This window comes from Homo sapiens, chromosome 3 (genome assembly GCF_000001405.40).
Source record: "Homo sapiens chromosome 3, GRCh38.p14 Primary Assembly".
Lineage (NCBI taxonomy): Eukaryota > Metazoa > Chordata > Mammalia > Primates > Hominidae > Homo > Homo sapiens.
This window is the reverse complement of record NC_000003.12, coordinates 14,156,543-14,178,774: the sequence shown is the minus strand read 5'-3', so window position 1 is coordinate 14,178,774 and position 22,232 is coordinate 14,156,543. Positions and strand designations below refer to the sequence as shown.

The following is a 22,232-nucleotide window of genomic DNA, read 5'->3' as shown; positions in this document are numbered from 1 at the left end:
AAATAGAGAGAAACCTGTTGTGCTCTTTCCTGCTTCCCGCAGTTTTTTAGTGGCCACGGGTATGGGGTGGAGCTTCCTTTAGGGGCGTGACTAGGCCTCCAACGAAGGGGCGTGGCCAAGCGCACCGCCTCGGGGCGGGGCCGGCGTTCTAGCGCATCGCGGCCGGGTGCGTCACTCGCGAAGTGGAATTTGCCCAGACAAGCAACATGGCTCGGAAACGCGCGGCCGGCGGGGAGCCGCGGGGACGCGAACTGCGCAGCCAGAAATCCAAGGCCAAGAGCAAGGCCCGGCGTGAGGAGGAGGAGGAGGGTGAGAGCGAGGCCCAGCGGGCTTCGCGGGAGACGCCGCCGGTGGGCGGAGGAGGCCCAGAGGCAGGGCGGGAGTCCAGACGCGGAGGCCTGGTGGAGGTTGCTGCGCGCGTTCCGCGCCGTGGGGGCAGCCCGGCAGGCTGCGGCCGGCCCTCCCCGCTGTCCCCGCGTCTTTGTCCTGCGCACCCAGAGCGGTTTCCCGCGAGCTTCGCCCGATCCAAGCTCCTGCGTAGCTTTTTTCCCGCTCCCCGTTGTCCAGAGGATACAGATGTTCAGGGTTGAACTCGGAGAAGGCAGTTATTTGTGTCCCAGGAAGACAGACGGACGGACCAGGACGTAGAGTGATGCAGTGTGCTGACTCCCGAATGATAACTTCAGCTGAGTCTCACCCAGAGTTCCACAGTGGGATCCCACCTGACTTCCCCTCATGGATATTTGATAGGCTTCTTACATTTGTCATGGGCAATGCAGAACTCATGGTTTTCCTCTTTAAATCTATGCTTTCCTCCGTTTTTCCAGTCTCAATACTTGTTATAAAGCAAAGCCCACCTTTTTCTTATGTCCACACATCCAGTCCGTCAGCAAGTCCAGTCAGTTCAGCCTCAAGAGTGTATTTCAAATTTGTCCACTTCTCTTCATTTCCATGACCACAGCCCCTGTCCAAGTCATCATCACCTTTCAGTTGAGTGACTGCAGTTTCCTCTTTACTGGCCTCCCAGCTCTGCATCCAGCAACCCAAATAATCTTAAAAAAAAAAAAAATCATGCCCTGCTCCTGCTTTAAACTCCCCTTGGTTTTCCATTGCTCTTAGCTTAAAATCCAGTTGTTTTATCCTGGCCTACAAGATACTACATGTTTTGGCTCTTGCTACCTCTCCTGTTTCTCTTACCACTTGTTTCCTTGCCAGATACCCTCCTTATTGGCCTCCTTTCTCTTCCTCAAATATGCCAAGTTATTCCTTGAGTCTTTTCCTTTGATGTTCCTTCTGCCTAGAGTGAACCCCCCATGGCTTTTACCAGGGCTGATTTTTTCTATTTCTTCAAAACTCAAGTTAGACATTCCTTGAGCAAACTAAGGTGGTCCTTCCCAGATACCCCGCGGATACTAAAACCTGTGATGCTCAAGTACCTTATATCAAATGGCCTAGTGTTTCCATGTAACCTATGCACATCCTCCGACATACTTTAAATCATCTCTAGATCACTAATAATACCTAATACAATGTGGATACTATGGAAATAGTTGTCATGCTGTATTTTTTAAATTTGTATTTTTTTTCCCGAAATATATTCATCTGTGGTTGGTTGAATCTGTGGATGCAGGGCCCGTGGATTGGTAGGGCTAAATGCTAAATAAATATTTTATTTATTTTTTATTTTTTTCGAGACAGTGTCTCACTCTGTCGCTGAGGCTGGAGTGCAGTGGCGTGACCTCCGCCTCCTAGGTTCAAGTGATTCTCCTGCCTCAGCCTCCCGAGTAGCTGGTGTTACAGGTGCCTGACACCATGTCCGGCTAATTTTTGTATTTTTGTATAGATGGGGTTTCGCCATGTTGGCCAGGCTGGTCTCAAACTCCTGACCTCAGGTGATCCGTTTGCCTCGGCCTCCCGAAGTGTTGGGATTACAGGCATGAGCCACTGCGCCCGGCTAGTAAATATTTTAAATAATTGCAAAATGCAGGCTGTAGAAGGAATTTCTGGGTCTCCTGAAAAAACTGGGTAGATTAGACTAGGTAACCGGCAAAGGCTATCACACTAGATTCTGTTTCTATACCGGTTATAAATTCATCATCCATTAGGAAATAGTGAAATGGTAATAATTCGTAAACTTAGGAGGTGATTTACCTCATATGTAATATTACGAGTTCCATTTTATTCACTCATTTACTCATTCAAATAACATCTTTTGAGTATCTACTATGTGCTGTACATGAATGAGGTGACATGAGAGATAAACATATCTTGGAGGATCATAGAGTAGTGTTGACATGACATTTACATGTAAAACATTCAAGGCAAAGTGTGCTAAATATTGTGGAAGAAGGTACAAGGCTTTGTAGCTTCCAAAGGATTAATCAAGTTTGACTGGCGTGATCGGGGAACGCTCTCTGAAGTAGTTTGATCTGTGATTTAAAGGATGGTTGGTATTTTAGCAAGGGGTCACAAAAAGGGGCCGGTATTCTAGTCAGAATGTAATTTGGATATATGGCAATTAAAAATTTACGGTTTTAATCTGATGGAAATGCTACCTGTATTCTTCCCAGCTCAACACTTCACCTCGGTTCCAGCTTGGTAGAGCTTCAATTCTTAGTTTTATGCACTTGGGTGAATTATTTTGGACAAATGTTTTAGCCCTTCTGAATTTCCTCTGTGAAATGTAATAACTGCCTTGCGGGGTGGCTGTGAGTTTTCAGTGGGATAGCATATAAAGCCAAGAGCTTTAGCTTTACCCATGTTAGGTAAATTAGTTGGGCTAGCTGGTGTCATTCAGCCTAAACGGAGGTAAAGATGCACCCAAGTTTATTCTGCTAGCCAGAGGAGCTAGCAGTCAGTTCCCAAGGCAGCTTCCAGGATCTGCAGAGTTACAACCTTTGTTGTGGTTTGGTGGTTTTGTGGGGAAGCATAGACTTAGCAAGTATGGTTTGGGCTGCAGATGACAATAATTTGGTGACTGTCAGTGTAGTTGCTAACACTGTAATAGTGTAGGTTTTAATAGCACCCCTGTACATGCAAATGAAGGTGATACTTGGCTGCTTTTGACAAATAGGAGAAAAGAAAACAGGCTTCCACATGATTTCCTTTGTGTTACTAAAGCACCTCTGGTTTCTTTTCATTTCTTCTCTGTGTTAACACCTTCAGTGATATCCATTAATTCCTTCAACAGCTGTTTATTGAGCGCCTACTATTTTCACACACTGTTCCAGGTACTAGGATAATATTGAACAAGACAGATGAGGCACCTGCTCTCATGATTATAATCTGGGGGGAGGGGTACTTAGAGCAGATAACAAGTTAAAAAAAAACGGATTCACATGATGATAAGAGCTATCACCCTGTGCTAAGACTGCTGTGATAAAACTTATTTGGGTACATAGCAGAAAATGCTTCTATAGATGAAAAGAAAAACCCTCAAACTTATATGGGGCTGGGGGAGAGGCAGCTAAATGGGAATCAGTGTCAGGGAAGGCCTTTGTAAGGAGGTGGCATTTTGAGGCATTTAGTGTAATTTTGAGCCATTCATAGGAAGTTCTGGGGAAAAGAGTTCTAGGCAGAGAGAACAGTGTGTTTAAACACTCTTAGGAGGGAATGAACTTGGCCAGTTGGCTGGACACAGCGAGCGAGGGGCTGGGTAGGAGAAGTGAGCAAGGGCCTGAGCTTGGATACCAAGCTAAGGAGTTGGAATTTTATTCTGAGTGCTATGAGTTGCTGCTGGAAGGTTTACTCCGGTGTTCTTATTAAATCCCAGTAGATGGGCAAGCAGACCACAGTGGTAATTCCTGCCCTACTGAAAGAACACTGAACTCAAGGAGTCTGGTTAGGCATATTAGATAACTCAAGATTTTGGAGAGTCCTGGAAAAGAGTCTCTAGATGCTTAGGGACCAAAAAATAGCAGAGAACAGAAAGTCACCCATATTTCTGCCATCCAGAAATAGCCACCATGAAATAGTGGTCTGTTTCCTTCTAGTCTGTTTTTTATATAGCAGAAAGCATACTGTAAAATCAACTTTGCATGAGTAACATTACATCATATATCGTTTTTCTTTATCTTAAAGGATGACTCAATTATATTTTGTTGTGTGGCTCTGCCATAAGTTACTTAACAATTATCTCATGGTTGGACATTCAGATTATTGTTAGATGCTTTTGAATACTATGAACATCCTTTTGATTCAGAGTTTTTGTGTTTCCTTTATCCCCCTTTCCCTTTTAACTCCTCTACCTTTCTCTTCAAACGGAAATAAAAGCTGTGCTTTTTAACCAACTAGAAAAGTTTGTGATGCCTCTGAAGTATCCTCCTACGTGCATTTTTTTAGATTAGTAGAAATTGAAGTGTTTAGCATCTTTGCCTATTATTAGAGGGCTAACTACCATTGTAAGATCCAGAAATCTTGATTTTAGGGGCACCCTCCTCAAACTGTCAAATCTTAAGCTTTATGCAACCTCTGGCCTTGGAGTAGGCAATCTGTTCTCAGATTTGAAAAAATTAATTTTGAAATAATTTGTACTTCAAAATTTTTCCTTATTTTTTGGTTTCCATACAATGTTTAAAAATGGGAATGCATAAATTCCTTTTTTATAAAACATTTAAAGAAACAACGGAATCAATGATCTAACATTAAAATAAATGCTCCTTTGTTATGAATTTTATTAACATTTAATCATGATTTCATTTAGATCAGAAGGGAGAGTCTTTTTTCCCTCATGCAAAAGTATATTCTTGTGGAATATAAATACCCATCCAGAGAGTCAGCAAGACAAACAATGAAAAGACTGAATTATTAAATAATTTTATATTTTAGGTTAATATTGCAATCCCTTTTGGAACCTCAATAAAAGGTAGAGTATTTTTATTTTCTAAAATTAATTGAAGCAGAGTCATGCAAAGACAAAAGATTTATTTCAGATTCAAGATAATTTGTGTGAATATATTTGCAAAATAGAAAACTATCCTTCCCTGCCATATTATTTGTTAAAACTAATCTATTAATATAATTATTATATGTAAATAAACCATAATTTTAGATACCCCAATTTGACTAAAACCAGCAGCTTATGCATTTTTTATTTCCCTTTAACAAAAAAATAATTACTTTAAGAAAATACTTTTGAATTATTGCTGTCTTTTTCCAACTGTAAGTTTGCTGAGGTGGTTGGTATATGAGTGCCATTTGGGTTACATTGGAAAGGTTTCAGAGCAGTATGTGTTTTGAGCAGTTTGGTCTTGAAGGTTGGCAGAAATGTAGATTAATAGTAATGATGTTGTGGTAAAACTTGGACATGTTTATGTACTTAACATTTTACTTAGGAGTACATTATCCCTAAGACAATTAATTTTGGCAGATAATAAATAAGGTGCTAATTAATGGATGTTGTATTTTCCTGGCAGGAGGTTAGCTGACATTTAAGATCTGGAAGTTAGGTTTTATTTGAGTCCTATGGTATTTTCTGTAGTCATAGGAGAAGTAAAGTGCTGATAAAGGAAGATGGTTTTTACTGTGAATATAGACTAGCCGCAGGTGGGAAGAAGCTGAGAGCTGGTTGCTGACCAGACAGGGGATGGTGAACCAGTGATGGAGATGGGGTTTGGAGACAGGTCATAGAGCCGTTTTATGCCCCTGCCCATAAGCTGCACTGCCTCCACCTTTCCTTCCACCCCTCACCTTATGTTCTGTGTTGTCACCTAGATGCCTTTGAAGATGAGAAACCCCCAAAGAAGAGCCTTCTCTCCAAAGTTTCACAAGGAAAGAGGAAAAGAGGCTGCAGTCATCCTGGGGGTTCAGCAGATGGTCCAGCAAAAAAGAAAGTGGCCAAGGTGACTGTTAAATCTGAAAACCTCAAGGTTATAAAGGATGAAGCCCTCAGCGATGGGGATGACCTCAGGTGAGATGTCTGCAAAGCTTTGTCTCGGGTCTTGATTTTTCTCATCAGAGAATTGTGAATAATGAAAACCTCTATTCTTACTTGTCACTGGGGTCCATGGAAGATTGGATCTTTAAATTCTTCTAGGTACAACTCAGACCGGTAAGAGCTGGAAACTTTTCAGATAAGAACAGTGACAGCATGCAGTAAGTGATTTATTCATGCTTCCACAGCTGGACAGTGGCAAAAGCAGGAGAACCCAGGTCTTCTGACTCCTGGTCCAGTGCTCTTTCTACTACACAAAAATATTAGATGTATACAAAATATTTACCTGCCATTCCAGCTTTATCTCATACTACTGTCCTCAAGCACGCTCTTCTCCGGCCCACCTGAGCTTCTCATCATTCACTGAACACATTCTCCTACTTTCTACACCTGCATTGTGCTCATGGTATTCCCTCTACCTGGAGTGCTTGCTGGCTTCCATCTTGAAGATGCAGATCTGAAACCACCTACTCCAGAGGCTTCACTGATTCTTCCCCCTTCTCTCCTCTGACTTCCTGTAGCGCTTCTAGGGAGTGTGATATGTCTGCCAGTTATTGTTACCATGCCACATACCCAGGCTTACTACCCTGTGACCTCTCAGAGGGCTGGAACCATGTGGGGTTCCTTTTCATATGCCCTGTAGCATCCATTGCAGGCCCTTTTATTTGGCAGAAACTGAACAAGTATTTTTGCAATGAATGAGCATTTATATTAATATGTTGTGAACAGTGATTATGAGCCCAGGGAACACTTGATTTTCTGCCTCCTAAGAAAGTTGAGGGGTGGGGAGAAGAGGAAGAACAGAGGGATAGTTTTTCATTTGCTTCATAAACAAATCCTCACTGCCAGTATCAGCTTTTCCAGCAGCCTCTAGTCCTGGGATGGGAGAGTAGTCCAGTAGAGGGCACAGGAAGGGACACGGGACAGCATGATGATTTTCCGCCATGATCCATCTCTTCTCCTTTTCTCTAGACTTCCCTTCCCGTCCCGCCCCGTCCCGTCCCCATCCCGGTCCCGTCCTTAATGGAGTCTCGCTCTGTTGCCCAGGCTGGAGTCTAGTGATGCAATCTTGGCTCACTGCAACCTCCGCCTCCCAGGTTCAAGTGAGCCTCCTGAGTAGCTGGGACTGTAGGTGCCCACCACCACGCCCAGCTAATTTTTGTATTTTTAGTAGAAACAGGGTTCCACCATGTTGGTGTCGAACTCCTGACCTCAGGTGATCTGCCCTGCTCAGCCTCCCAAAGTGCTGGGCTTACAGGCGTGAGCCATTGCGCCTGGCCTTCCCTAGACTTTTCTGAAGAATACCTCTGAACTTACTGCTTTCCAGTTGCCTCCCCTCACTAGTTGAATTCTATCTCCAGAGACATATACATAGAGATAGGCCACGATACTGCCAAGGAAAGCTCTGGGTCCCCCTTTCCCTCTCCCCTGAGCATTGACTGTGGTCATTTCTGCTATGTTCATTCTAAGGGGAAATTTTTATTGCTGGTGTTTTGAGAGAAAGTGGTACTCTAAAAAAAGAGTGTATTATTAGAGCTCAAGATTGATGATTGGTTATTTTAAATGTTTATACCAAAATCCTAGATAATATTCTCACTTGGTACCAAGTGCCAAAGTTTACACAAGTTAAAAGTAACTGGATACTCTAGACACATTTTATATATGAATTTGCAGAAATATATTACGTATCAGCAAGTACTTAGCCTTGAGCCATTGTTTAGCCAGCTACTTATCTATGTTATTATCTACTTAGCTAGCTAGCTGTCTATGTCTCTTGTTATTTATGACTCACCTATGTGTAGTTACATCCCTGCTTGAAGTTAGAATGCTATGAATTTCAGTCTCCTTACATCATATTTCTTAAAGATGGAAAAGAAGTCTGAGTAGGCTTATAGTAGGATATATAAATGGAGATTTTATTCTGTTCTTTCTGGCCTCCAACTGCACATATATCACACAGATATCACAGTTCTGGAACTCATTATTATTTTGGTGTCTTCTAATTTTTCCTTGTCATGTCCAGGCACAGCTATGTTTTCTTTCACACGATCTAGATTGTAGGTTTTTTAACAGCACATCTGGTAGTAATTAGACAGATGATCAGAGCACATCTTGATGAGATTTGGAACACATGTTGATGGAGGAAGTGAGGCTCAGAGCTTACTAATCATCTTTAAATAGTTGCAACAGATTCTCAATAAATAGGAGGGGTTTTAAAAATTCCATTTAGCTTGAATGGAACACTAGGATGTCTGAGTCTTCTTCATCTTCCTTCCTGTGGTCTTTACACAGGGACTTTCCAAGTGACCTCAAGAAGGCACACCATCTGAAGAGAGGGGCTACCATGAATGAAGACAGCAATGAAGAAGAGGAAGAAAGTGAAAATGATTGGGAAGAGGTTGAAGGTGAAACATCTTTCTTTGTTTTCAGAACTGTTTGGTTCTGTTTGTTTTTTTGTTTGATTCTGTTTGGAGTCAGATCACTAATTGCAATCCTTTTGTTTTCTTTTGAGCTAATTAGACCACAGATAAGGTTGTACTAGGGACTTGCTTTGATATATATGGAAAAACTCATGGCCAAGTTACCAAAGAAGGCTGTTTACTCTCTTCCTCTGGTGACTGTCAATGGGGTAGATATAAATAGAGAGGCAGCACTATTTAGGAGAAGGAGCACAGGCTTTGAAAGTAGTTAGAATTGGGTTCAGTGCTCAACTTTGCCACTTAGGTGGCAGTGTGAGTGAGTAATTTAATCTTGAGCAAGTAACTTCACCTCTCTGAACTGAGTTTTCTCATTGGTAACACTCTGTAAACACTGAATGTTTAGTGTGAGCCATTCACAGTATAGGCTGTAGGATTATTGTGGGGAAAAGAAAGTTTGCAAATGTAATGGGCCTAATGTATCATACACTCACAGTAAATACCAGCTAATGTTATCATCCCTGATTCCTTCTGTCTGGCCTGACTTTTCCTCACCTTTTTATTTTGAAAGTGTTCAAATTTATAAAAAGAGTGAAAAATGTAATATATGTCCTTCACCTAGGTTCATTAACATTTTGCCACATTGAATGTATGTTTCTCTCTGTAAATATTCATTGTGGAACCATTTGAAAATAAGTTGTAGATATTCTGATACTCCACTGCTGAATACTTCAGCCTGCATTTCCTAATAATTAGACATTCTCCTGCATGACAAAATGACCTCATCACACCTACGAAAATGAAAAATAAGTCCCCAATTGTTATGAAAGCATCCTTTATGCCTGTTTCTTTTTCCATACCAAGATCCAACCAAGCCTTGTATTTGGTCTTTATGTCACTTTACTCTCTTAATATAGAGCAGTATTTCCCACCTACCGCCTTGTTTTGCTTTTCATAGCACTGCCTTTTTTGAAGGATCCTAGTCTTTTGTTTTGTAGACTGTCTCATGTTCTAGTTTTGTCTGATAAACAGTCACACATCTCATGGTGGTGTTAAACTTGTTTCAATATCCCCTGTATTTCTTGTAAACTAAGTCCAAAGACATGTAATTTTGATTAAACTTTTATTTTTTTTCCAAGAATCCTTCCTAGATGATGCTTTAAACCTCATCTTGCATTGATTAAGCCACCTCTAATGTCAGGTTGTTCCTCTTCTAGTCATGCTACCTTTAAGCTAGCTGTACTACCATGTCCTTTTGACATGGCCTCATTAGTCTTTGAGAACATTTTTGTTCAGCTTATACTTTTCTTGCTGTAGACTTGAAACCAGCCTTTTTTTCTTCAAGAAGCTGTGGTTCATTTTAATAGAGATTCATGTATAGAGACCAAGATCTGGCATTAGATGCATTCTTTGCCAGTAAGATGTCATGGCTTCTAGGCCCAGAGCCTCTTTTAAGGAACTTTTGCTAATGAAGTTTTCAATTAGATCCAGTTCAGCAAGTTCAGTCCTTCTCAGCTACTGTATACAAGCAACGTAGGGGGTGAAGAGATGAAAAGGATATATTTTTTGTCACTTACAAGTTTATAATTGAGAATGAAAGATGGACACCTGAGTCATGACTCTATACAAAGCAAATTGTGCTAATTGTTATTGTGGTAATACAGAATACAGAGAAAAGGAGATTATTCTCACTTGGGTTTTTTTTTTTTAAAGAGTTTTAAGTATATACATACATGCATGAGTGTCAGCTTTTTGATAGAGGGGTCTGTATCTGATTCAACCCAGTATCTCTATGCTTTAGGTTCTTTATCTAAAGACTGTCTGGGTTGTGTGGGTTAAATGAGACACACGAATATATAACACTCAGCACACTGCCCGGCACATGGTAGGACTCAGGGCAAGGCATGTCTAGGGGTCTCTGTGGGCTGTCTCCCTCACATTCATGCCTCACTTCCTCCTTCCCAGCAGAACCTTGATTCTGTTCAGTACAGTAGCTATTATTATTGTTATTACTATTACTGATTTTTAAAAATGCTTGTTGATAGAACTTAGTGAGCCTGTGCTGGGTGACGTGAGAGAAAGTACAGCCTTCTCTCGATCTCTTCTGCCTGTGAAGCCAGTGGAGATAGAGATTGAAACGCCAGAGCAGGCGAAGACAAGAGAAAGAAGGTAAGCTTAGGCCCTTGCTTCTAGGCTCCTGTCACATGCAGTAGGCAACAGCTGCTGCTTAGGAGGACTTTGGAGAAACTTGTAGGGGACCAGGACTGAGTATCAAAGTGGTCGAGAACCTTGGGTCAGGAACCTGATTTACCTTTAGAGACTTGAATGAGACACCTTCGTGTCCTGGCTGGGGCTGGTGAGGGATGAGGAGAGGGAACTCCTGTGTGCCAAGGATTGAGCAGGTCATCCGTTATCTTACCTAATCCTTAGAACAGTGTTGTGAATGAGGAGCTAAGTAACGTTCAGACGCTAAGTAACGTTTCAAGAGTCACTCAGCCAGTAATGGAAGAGCTGAGACCTAATCCTTCTCATTGACTTGGCATTCACATTTTCCTCACCATGTCATGCTGCAGGACTTGAGGCAGTGCCCGCCGTGGTAGGGAGCCCCTATCCTTCCCAGCATCCCGGAGTACCTCTGCAGCCTCTGATGGCTTGGGAATTCCAATGTGCGATGGGCACATTACTAGGCACAGAAGAGGGAGATAATACAAATCATTCAAGAAGTGTCAAGTTGTCTTGAAGATTAATGGGATACAGACTGAAAAAGAGATTTTACACTAGAACAGTGTCACATAAATGATGGTGTGTTAATTTAACATTAATAAAGGTAATGGTTGCTAAGGAGAGAGTCAGTAGTCGGAAGAGTTGGACAGCCAGAGAAGACTTCCTGGAAGAAGTGAGCTTTGAGGCATGTAGGTGAGGTGTGATCTGCTGCTGGTTGAGAGGAGGGTTGTCTGGGTACAGAATGTCCCAGGCCGAGGTTTGCTGGTGAGAAGGAGCCAAAGAGCCTGCAGGAAATAGCTGGCTTGCAGACGGACTTGAGTAGCACAGCCTTGTGTAGGGAAACAGGGAGAGTGATTCACTGTCATCCGAGGAGAAGGAATTGCCTGGGGGAGTGGAGTCTGGTTTCAGTTCCCCCCTTCATTCCCAGATTTTTCACTATTTGTTGCAGTGAAAAGATAAAACTGGAGTTTGAGACATATCTTCGGAGGGCGATGAAACGTTTCAATAAAGGGGTCCATGAGGACACACACAAGGTAAGGGCAAGGAATGATGGGGAAGGACTTTTCCTTGTCGGTGCAAAGAGCTTGTGCTCACCGAGGCTTTATTTCTGGCTTTGCTGCTCTGTGGCCATGGCAAGTTTCTTACTCTCTCTGAGCCTTTGCATCCTCATCTGGGAGGTGGGGGTAGTAATAGTGTCTGTCTTGGAGGGTGGTTGTGTATTATAGGTAAGGTAACTTGCAGCACAATGCCTGGCATGCAGCAGAGGCTAAATAAAGAGCACTTGCCTTCCATCTCTCCTTTCAGCCATTTAATGTCATTAATTCTAATCCCAGCTGCAGGCACTGGCTTTTGACTTTAGCTGACAGTTATTGAACACTTGCACACACCTAGCAAGGTGCTTGGCATGGTGGGGATAGAGACTTGGATAAAGCTTATTTCCTACAATTGAGGAGTATCTGATCTCTAGATGGAACAAGGACTTCCAAACAGAGAAACTCAAGGCTATGCCTGGAACAGTGAAAGAGATCAGCGTGGCTCTGTGGAGCTGGGGAAGGCTTTATGTAGGGGAAAGGATTAGAGCCAGGTCTAGGAGAAAAAGTTGAAGACTCTAGCCAAGTTGTGGAGGGGACGGCGAGGTGCCCAGCTCACCTGCGTGTGTGGAGTATGTAGGTGTTGGGGGGTGGGGGTGAAGGGAGGGTGGGCTTTGGTTTCCCTTTGATGGATGGTGGGCTGCCTGAGAGGATAGTGATGGGATGGGTGAGTTGCTTTGTGTGCAGCTACTGCAGAAATCTAGAGGTGCAAGGATGGTGACGAGGTTAGAGAGGGGTCGCCTCCCTCACCCAGGCCTGGGGCACGAAACGAGACAGCTGTGTGCCTTTCACCTCTTGTTGGGTGCTGGAGGTGAAAGAAAGGGAAGATGACTCTCAGGTTTGAGGCCTGAGTGAGGAGAGAGAGGCAGCACTATTGATTAAAATAGGGAGGCTGTTAGTCGGGGGGGAGGAAGCCAATGTTGAAGGGAAAATGACACAAAGCAGTATGTGAAAAGAGGTGAAGAGGTCATATAATCATTTCAGTAGGTGGATGAAGGGTGGGTTTTGGGGTCAGAGGAAGGGCAAAGATGTGGAGCCTGTGACAGAGAAGGTTGGGCTCAAACACCCAGAGAGGTGGCGAGAGCAGCCCAGTGAGCCCAGTGGGGTGCATCCCGCCGGCTTCCACAGGCTTCCAGCAGTCTCTCCAGCTCCACTCCACTTGCCTTTTCTTCTGATCTCGTGGAGCAAACCCCAGACATGGCAGCATTTCATCCAGAAATCTTTCAGTATGTATCTCTGAAAGACAAGACCAAAACAAAAACAGTTTGTATTTTGAAAACAAAGCAATTTGTATTTTGAAGCTTTGAGGTTTGATGATTCCTTTGAAGGAATGAGTATACAGAGAGAAAAAGAGAGGGTCAAAGACAAGCTTGGGAAGTGGCCAATGCTAGTGTTTTTACTTTCTTATATGTAGAAATGGCAACACATATTTCTTGTCCACAGCATGTCTTGACTTTGGCAGCAAAAATTCCTCCTGGTGTCCGGCCTTCCTTCCATGCTGCCCCTTCCTCCTTTCCTCTTCACAGGTTCACCTTCTCTGCCTGCTAGCAAATGGCTTCTATCGAAATAACATCTGCAGCCAGCCAGATCTGCATGCTATTGGCCTGTCCATCATCCCAGCCCGCTTTACCAGAGTGCTGCCTCGAGATGTGGACACCTACTACCTCTCAAACCTGGTGAAGTGGTAAGGCCCTCCGCTTGTCCTGCAGAGCTGGGGAGTGTAGGATTTGTGTTTCTCTCAGAGGCTGGGTTCAGGTCACTTCCACAGACCTTCCCTGAGGCGGTAACTATGTATCAGGTGGTGGGCATGGCATTGAAGATAGAGAAATGCCAGGTATGATCTTGCCCTGGTAGAGCTGCCAGACTGGTGGGGAGACAAATACATACCAGGTAATTACAGGATGGCATGAGGAGTGCCCTGGAAGGGGTGTTCTGGGGACTGCAGGCTCACATAGCAGGGGCGCTTTTCTCAGCTGGGAGGTCTGGGAAGGCTCCCCAAGGAGGTAAAGTCTGAGCTGGGTCTGCAGTGATGATAGGAGTTAGCTAGACGGGCTGGGGAAAGTAGGACAGAGGCAGGCGGGTCTCACGATTCACTCCCTCTTTTTATTTTCTTGGCTGGAAATGAAAATTCCCCTTTGCCCTGACCTCTGACACAAGGAATGCCTGCTTTCTCCCCAGGTTCATTGGAACATTTACAGTTAATGCAGAACTTTCAGCCAGTGAACAAGATAACCTGCAGACTACATTGGAAAGGAGATTTGCTATTTACTCTGCTCGAGATGATGAGGAATTGGTCCATGTAAGTGATCCTCCCGGATCACTGTTTTTTATCAGTACTGTTAACTAATGATAATGGCAGCCATGTGCCAGATGCCATTCCAGGTGTGTTACCGACACTACCTTATTCAGTCCTCATAATGACGTTGATAGCTGCTGAAGCCCAGAATAGCTACATGATGCCTCTAAGGTCTTTTCCTTGGTGAGCCTGAGAATCGAGATTGGGATCAGAGTCTGAGTGGAGGGCCTGTATGCTTTCCTCCCTATCGCCTCTAGTTGTGGTGTACCAAAAAGCCCGTAGTTTTTGGTCAGATGTGCTAGAAATATTTTCATTAATTTTTCCAATTTTGTCTTCAGAAGTCCCAAGGAAATGTTTTTTCAAATTGGATGCTGAAGTCCTTGAGAATGTGTTTTTGTATCTCACATTTGGGTGTTGACACTGGCAGGCAGCAGTGCAGTGAGGAGGGTTCTGTCCATAAAAAGGAATCGTGATGGCAGAGTGCTCCAGGGACAGGCAGGCTTTATCAAATGCCTACAGGCACCTGTAGGTAAGGCTCTGTCTGAATAAAACAAAAACAGAGATGGAAATGTGGTTTTATCCCTAGAAGATTCCTATTAATCCATACAGTTCAATCTGGGAGTCCCAGATTCTCTGGAGAAAAAGATGGTTGACATCTTTAGTTCTCTTCTTCCGTGTTGGCTTTAACAAGTCTAAGATATTTGGCAAGGCTGATAATTATGTTATAATGTGCTGCCAATTTTTTTGTTTGTTTGTTTTTGTTTTTTGAGACAGAGTCTCTCTCTGCCGCCTAGGCTGGAGTGCAGTGGTGCAATCTCAGCTCACTGCAACCTCCACCTCCTGGGTTCAAGTGATTCTCATGCCTCAGCCTCGCGAGTAGCTGGGATTACAGGTGCCCACCACCATGCCTGGCTGATTTTTGTATTTTTAGTAGAGATGGGGTTTCACCCTTCACCCTGTTGGCCAGGCTGGTAACTCATTAATATTTTAGTATTGTCCTCCCAGACTTTGTTCCTGTGTATGTGTGTACGTATGTATTTGTTTTGTTTATTTGTTTAAGCAAAATAGGATCACACAGCTTTTAAAGAGGGGGTACAATTCAGTGACCATTTAGTACATTTACAATGTTGTGCAACTACCACCTCTATTTCCAAAATGTTTTTGTCACCCCCAAGGGAAACCCTGTATATACGCATTAAACTCCTCATTGTTACCCCCCTGTCCCTGCTCGTGGCAACCACCAATCTGTCTTGTGTCTCTGTGGATTTACCTATTTAGGATATTTAGTATAAAAGAAATTATACACTATGTGGCCTTTTCTGCCTGTCTTTTGCTTAGTATAATGTTTTCAAGATTCATCTGCATTTTAGCATGTATCAGTATTTCATTAATATTTATAGCTGAATAATATTCCATTACATGTTTATACATTTTCTCTATCCATTTATCCATTGGCAGACATTTAGTTAGTTTCCACCTTGTGGCTGTTGTGAAGAGTGTTGTTAATAATGTCTATACATATATTTATTTACATACCCTGTTTTCTGTTCTTTTGGGTATATACCTAGGATTGAAATTGCTAGGTCATATGTATATTCTATATGTAATTTTTGGAGAAACCACCAAACTGTTTTCTGCAGTTACTGTACCATTTTACATTGCCACCAGCAATGAACGAGGATTCCAAATCTTTACCAACACTTGGTTATTTTCTGATGTTTTGATTATAGTCATTATGATGGGTGTCAAGTGATACCTCATTGTGGTTTTGATAGCATTTCTCCAATGACATGATGATGAGTGTCTTTTCATGGGCTTCTTGGTCATTTGTGTATCTTTTTTGAGGACATGTCTGTTCAAGTATTTGCCTATTTTTTAATTATGTTGCCTTTTTGTTGATGATTTGTAAGAGCTCCTTGTATATTCTGGATATTAGTTACCTATCAGATACATGCTTTCCACATGGTTTCTCCCATTTTGTAGGTTGCCTTTTTACTTTCTTGATGAAGTCCTTTGATACCCAAAAGTTTTGAATTTTGACAAAGTCCAAGTTACCTATTTTTCTTTTGTTCTTTTTGCTTTTGGTGTCGTATCTAAGATTCCATTGTCAAATCCAAGGTCATAAAGATCGACCCCTGTGTTTTCTTGTAAGAGATTTATAGTTACTGCTCTTACATACGTTGTGAGTTAATATTTGCATATATCAGGTAGGTGTTCAATATCATTCTTATGCATGTGGATATCCATTTGTCCCAGCATTATTTGTTGAAGAGACAATTTTTTCAATGGGGCTTGGATGGTCATGGCATCCTTTTCAAAAATCAACTGGCCATAAATGTATGGGTTAATTTCCAGCCTCTCAATTCTATGCTGTTGGTCTACATGTCTGTTCTTACGCCAGTACAACACTGTTTTGATTACTATAGCTTTGTAGTAAGTTGCGAAATCAGGAAGCCTCAGTGTAACTCTGTTCATTTACAGTGTGCTTTGGTTATCTGGGGCCTCTTGCAATTCCATATGAATTTGATGATCTGTTTTTCCATTTCTGTGAAAAAGCTGTGGAATTTTGATAGGGACTGCACTGATCTGTAGATTAATTTGGGTGCCATTGCCATCTGGTTATTAGGTCTTCCAGTCCATAAGCATGGATGTCTCTCCTTTTATTTTTGTCTTTAATTTCTCAGCTGTATTTTGTAATTTTCAGTGTACAGCCTTTTACCTTGGTTAAATTTTTTCCTAGGTACTTTATTCTTCTTGATGCTCTTGGAAATAGCATTGTTTTCTTAATTTCTCTTTTAGGTTGTTCATTGCAAATGTATAGAAACACAACTGATTTTTTTGTGTTGTCTTGTACCCTGCAGCTTTGCTGAATTCATTTATTAGCTCTACTAGCTTTCTTGTGCATTCTTTGAAATTTTCTATGTATAGGATCATGCCATCTATGAGTAGATCATTTTACTTCTTCCTGTCCAGTTTGCATGCCTTTTTCTTGCCTAATTGCTCTGGCTAGGACTTCAAGTACAATGTTGAATAATGGTGGTGACAGCAGGCATCCTTGTTTTGTTCCTGATAATTAGAGGGAAAGCTCTCAATCTTTCACCATTAAGTATCATACTAGATCTGGGTTATCACGTTGACTCAGTTCCCTTCTATTCCTAGTGTTCTGAATTTTTTTTTTTTTTTTTTAATCATGAAAGCCTGTTGGATTGTCTCAGGTGCGTTTTTCTTTGTCAGTTGAAATGATCCTCTGGATTTTCTTTCCTTCATTCTATTAATGTATATTTAATTGATTGATTTTCTTATGTTGAACCATCCTTGCATTCCTAGGATAAGTACCACTTGGTCATGTTGTATAAGCCTTTTCATATGTTCAATTTGTTTTTTAGTATTTTATTCAGGATTTTTGCATCTATATTCATAAATTGGTTTATTTTCTTGTGATGTATTTGTCTGGCTTTGGTGTCAGGGTAATGCTTGCCTCATAGAACAAGTTAAAAAATATTTCCTCTTCTAACGTTTGAAAGAGTTGGAGAAAGATTGAGGTAAATTCCACTTTAAATATTTGCTAGAATTCACCAGTGAGGTCATCTAGTCCTAGACATTTTCTTTGTTGGGAGGTTTTTGAGTTCTGACTCGATCTGTTATTACAGATCTGTTCAGATTTTCCATTACTTCTTGAGTCAGGTTTGGTCATATATGTATGTTTCTGGGATTTTGTCCATTTTCTCTATGTTATCTAATTTGTAGGGATCGTACAGTTCTGTAACCTGATTTTTTTCCTCAGCAATGTACATTGATAGATTTCTTACTAAAGGTGGTGACTGTGTATGCTTGGGTAGCACTAGACTGTTTCCAGAGTCCTGTCACCTGCATTATCTTGTCTAATCCTCTTTAGAGTCCTGTGAGGAAGCCGAGGCAGGGATTATTCTAGATGCAGAAATCCAGGCTTAGGGAAGTCACTCAGCTAGTGGTGAACACTTAGTTATCCAGACTTCTGGACCTGTGCTCCTGTGCCATGCTGTACAAGAAGAAACTGAGAAATTAATACTGGTACAATGCCATCAGCTAAACTACAGACATTATTTGGATTTTCCACGTTTTCTCACTGATATCCTTTTTCTGTTCCATGATACCAGTTTGTATTTAGTCATCATGTCTCCTTAGTCTCCTCCAGTGTGTGACAGTGTTTTGGGCTTTCCCTGTCTTTCATGACCTTGACACTTTGGAAATTTTTAGCCGCAGAAGAAACAAGGCAAAAGCAATCATTTTTCTCACCATAACAATGGCTTCTCACACCGGACTTTCTCCCGAGGCTGTGGCAGTAATCAAGGAGAGATGCTGGGACCTGGAGACCCGTGTAGGAAGGCCTTGGCCGAGTACATTATCACTGTTGCCATTGGAGTTAAGTCCCCTGAGGGGCTCCCAGACTTCCAAGTTAACAGCTTTCAGAGCTGCAGACTCAGTTAAAGATTCAATGTGGGGAAAATTGGAAAACAGGGAACAGACCTGGTGATCTGACGATAATGATACTTTCTACTTCTTCTTCCCAAAGTGGTATTTCATTTTATTATTTTAGTCACAAACGCAACACATATTGACTACAGAACAATCAGAAGGTAGGTAAGCAGAGAAAAAAAGCATGTAAACACCCATAACCCAGTATATGGATGCTTTTTCAAATATACGTGTATGTCTAAATTTATATATACATATTTTTCTTATAAAAATGTAATCACATCATACTTTTTAAAGGAAAACTTCTATTTTCCTTTAATATATGATGAGCATGTTCCTGTTCTTCTACGAAGATAAACTTCTGCATCATCGTTTTTAACAGTGTCTGGAGTTTCCGTCGCCTACTGTTAGACAGTCTGGCTGTTTCCAGCTTTTCCCTGTCTTGAACAAGCACCATAACAAACAACATTGAACTCATTACATCTTTAATTACTTTCTTAGGATAACTATGTTCTTCCTTTTCATCATAGATATTCTTACTGATTCTCCGGGCTCTGCAGCTCTTGACCCGGCTGGTATTGTCTCTACAGCCAATTCCTCTGAAGTCAGCAACAGCAAAGGTGAGGTGCGCAGGGCTGCCAGAGAAGAGGAGCAATTGACAGGAAATTGTCACACTTAAAAAAATTGATCATTATTATATTTTTTAAGAGCTGGTATTCACGGAGTGTGGGTTCTTTCGAGCCTTGCACATACCCTGTGTTAGGGAAGACTTGGGCATGTGAGTGGGTATCTAGCAGCCTGAACTTCACGTGTGCAGAGTGGCCTGTGAGAGGCCTCGGCCCAGTGCTGCTTTTGTTCTGTTCTGTAAATTGTGTGGAATGGTGCCTGTCCTTGCTTGCTCCGTGGAGTGCTGATGAGTGAAGCACTGTGGATTTTGAGGTGGTCTGGGTTAGCTTCAAGAAGCTAAATGCTGTACTCATTGGGGTATTGGCATTGTCTGAAGCCTGATGGTCTAGAAGCTGATTTTCATAATATCTGTATTCTTAAAACTACAGCTGTATTAAGTCCATAAGTATTTGTTTGCAAAATGCGTATGTCCAAGGTGGGTAGTAGTACTGCTGAGGAAACTGAAACTCGGAGGTTAAGTAATTTACCTAATTTACGTAACCAATAAGAGTTAGAACTGGAATTCAGACCCATGTTTGGCTGTCCAAATCCCATGTTCTTTTCTCTTTACAGTTAGGGTGAAAAGAATTATACTGTGGCCTTATCTAAGATGCTACAGATTTTAGCCAATACATACATACAACCCTGAAGGATAGCTGGTTGATCACTGTCTGAGCTGGGGACATCTTGATGTATTGGTTCTCTAGCTGGTGACTTAACCCTATTAGATTACAGGATTTCTATCATATCATTAGCAAAAGAGGGGGGAGAAAAAAAAGCAAAATTTCTTATTCTGTTTAAGGGAAAGAAACCTTCCAAGGAAAGATTGACTGCGGATCCAGGAGGCTCCTCAGAAACTTCCAGCCAAGTTCTAGAAAACCACACCAAACCAAAGACCAGCAAAGGAACCAAACAAGAGGAAACCTTTGCTAAGGGCACCTGCAGGCCAAGTGCCAAAGGGAAGAGGAACAAGGGAGGCAGAAAGAAACGGAGCAAGCCCTCCTCCAGCGAGGAAGATGAGGGCCCAGGAGACAAGCAGGAGAAGGCAACCCAGCGACGTCCGCATGGCCGGGAGCGGCGGGTGGCCTCCAGGGTGTCTTATAAAGAGGAGAGTGGGAGTGATGAGGCTGGCAGCGGCTCTGATTTTGAGCTCTCCAGTGGAGAAGCCTCTGATCCCTCTGATGAGGATTCCGAACCTGGCCCTCCAAAGCAGAGGAAAGCCCCCGCTCCTCAGAGGACAAAGGCTGGGTCCAAGAGTGCCTCCAGGACCCATCGTGGGAGCCATCGTAAGGACCCAAGCTTGCCAGCGGCATCCTCAAGCTCTTCAAGCAGTAAAAGAGGCAAGAAAATGTGCAGCGATGGTGAGAAGGCAGAAAAAAGAAGCATAGCTGGTATAGACCAGTGGCTAGAGGTGTTCTGTGAGCAGGAGGAAAAGTGGGTATGTGTAGACTGTGTGCACGGTGTGGTGGGCCAGCCTCTGACCTGTTACAAGTACGCCACCAAGCCCATGACCTATGTGGTGGGCATTGACAGTGACGGCTGGGTCCGAGATGTCACACAGAGGTACGACCCAGTCTGGATGACAGTGACCCGCAAGTGCCGGGTTGATGCTGAGTGGTGGGCCGAGACCTTGAGACCATACCAGAGCCCATTTATGGACAGGGAGAAGAAAGAAGACTTGGAGGTAAGGCCTTGGCTGCCAGGGGCTCCAAGACACAGTCAGGTTATTAAAATTATTCCTGTTTTTGAGCACCTTATATATGCCCAGCACTATGTTGGGTGTTTTTAATGGGTTGTCTCATTTAATTGTCACAGCCATATAAAGCTGGGGCAGTTGCTGCCTTAATTTTAGTGTAAAAAGTTGTGGAGTTGAAAGATGAACTGCCGCGGTGCTTGAGCCCAGGTCTGTGTGGCTTTGGAGCCTGTATACTTTTAGTTATTGCCCAGTTATAAATTTGGAGCTTTAAAATAATTTATGCAAGTAATATAACTCAGACTGAGTGAAAGAAGGAATAACCCATGGATATATTCTCCCCCCTCCCCCATCATGCGTGAATGTAAAGATGTACGTGCAAACACCCCTCATACATAGAACACTCACCTCCTGGGAAAGAGGGGTCTCGGAATGAGACAGACATGATACTGTCTCGGAATGAGACAGTATCTTCAGTCTATTGAGAAGGCAGACCGGGAGGCAGAGACTTCTAGAACATGACAGCTATGTCACTTGATCCTAGAACCAGCACTGACACCAGGAATAGTGCCCGAGCCGCCTGTGTGTATGGCAGTGGTGGTGGTGGGTGGAGCTTGCCATTTCTACACAGGAACATGCCCAGATTTGTCGCAGGTTTATTTCCAATCCCTCAGGATAGGTAAATTGCAGATTTATTAATCATTTCCTATAGGAGTGCAATGCATCCCATATTGAGTGTTTGCTCCAGGGGTGCATTTTACTTAGTAATGCTAAGTAAAATGGGTGCATTACTAAGTTCATTTTACTTAGTAATGACAGGTTAAGTGGAAAGTATGCAGATGGTATCGTAACTAACCTACCTAAAGCGCAGTGGAAGCTGAACGTGCAGCGTCCTCTCCCACTCTCAGCAACTCCACATTGCCAGTCCTTTCTAGTCTGTTGGGGTTTTTGAAGAGATGCCAAGGGCAAGCCTTAGAGAGCCTAGTGAACAGGGTGACTTACAGCAGTGAATTGCCTACTGAGAAATGAGCAATCTCAGAGAAGGGCAGAGAGAACACTGTCATAGTGGACGAAGAGAAAAGTCGCAGGGTGAGAACCGCTGCTCTCAGTTTCCTGTGAGAGCAGACAGGTAAGCTCACGCTCTAGAAGAGGATTGTCCCTTTGAAATAAGACCTTCTTACTGAAGAGCACTGTGTGTTTTTCTTCCTTGCAGACCTTTAACACATCTGCTGGGGCTGGGTTAGGTGTCTAAGCATTCAAATAGGTTAGACAACTTTTTGAAGTTGCCACAAGCCACAGATTTATTTGATTCTTTAAAGCTTTTGATTGATCTGTAACTGACTTACTGGCCGGAGGTACAGATGCGATGTTACAAAACCATTAGTGTTCATGAAACCTTGGCTCCACCATCTGTTGTCAGAACAAGTTAGTCTAAGGATCATCTCCCTCAAACTTCATT

The 22,232-nt window shown here is 42.6% G+C and overlaps 1 protein-coding gene across 9 annotated transcripts in view, besides 2 other annotated features; it reads left to right on the top strand.

Annotated features, from left to right (window-relative positions):
• Positions 15 to 364: an enhancer, noted in NCBI's record as "active region_19500". NCBI's record gives its function as "activates an Ori minimal core promoter by ATAC-STARR-seq in GM12878 lymphoblastoid cells {active_cell/tissue: GM12878}" and the evidence as "EXISTENCE:reporter gene assay evidence [ECO:0000049][PMID:35858748]".
• Positions 174 to 22,232, top strand: part of XPC (XPC complex subunit, DNA damage recognition and repair factor) — a 33,455-nt gene continuing 11,396 nt past the window's right edge. For 5 of the 9 annotated variants that reach the window (NR_148950.2, NM_001354727.2, NM_004628.5 and 2 more), the window contains exons 1-9: positions 174 to 309; positions 5,713 to 5,908; positions 8,225 to 8,337; positions 10,395 to 10,518; positions 11,522 to 11,606; positions 13,190 to 13,347; positions 13,842 to 13,962; positions 18,945 to 19,034; positions 19,883 to 20,764. Coding sequence is in view for 7 of the 9 variants with exons in the window: in NM_001354727.2 (NP_001341656.1) it covers positions 207 to 309; positions 5,713 to 5,908; positions 8,225 to 8,337; positions 10,395 to 10,518; positions 11,522 to 11,606; positions 13,190 to 13,347; positions 13,842 to 13,962; positions 18,945 to 19,034; positions 19,883 to 20,764 (1,872 nt within the window). In the remaining 2 variants the exon portion in view is untranslated. The remainder of the gene's footprint in view (positions 310 to 5,712; positions 5,909 to 8,224; positions 8,338 to 10,394; positions 10,519 to 11,521; positions 11,607 to 13,189; positions 13,348 to 13,841; positions 13,963 to 18,944; positions 19,035 to 19,882; positions 20,765 to 22,232) is intronic. The other 4 variants (NR_148951.2, NM_001354726.2, NM_001354729.2 and 1 more) reach the window with 3 other exon arrangements.
• Positions 415 to 534: a silencer, noted in NCBI's record as "silent region_14090". NCBI's record gives its function as "represses an Ori minimal core promoter by ATAC-STARR-seq in GM12878 lymphoblastoid cells {active_cell/tissue: GM12878}" and the evidence as "EXISTENCE:reporter gene assay evidence [ECO:0000049][PMID:35858748]".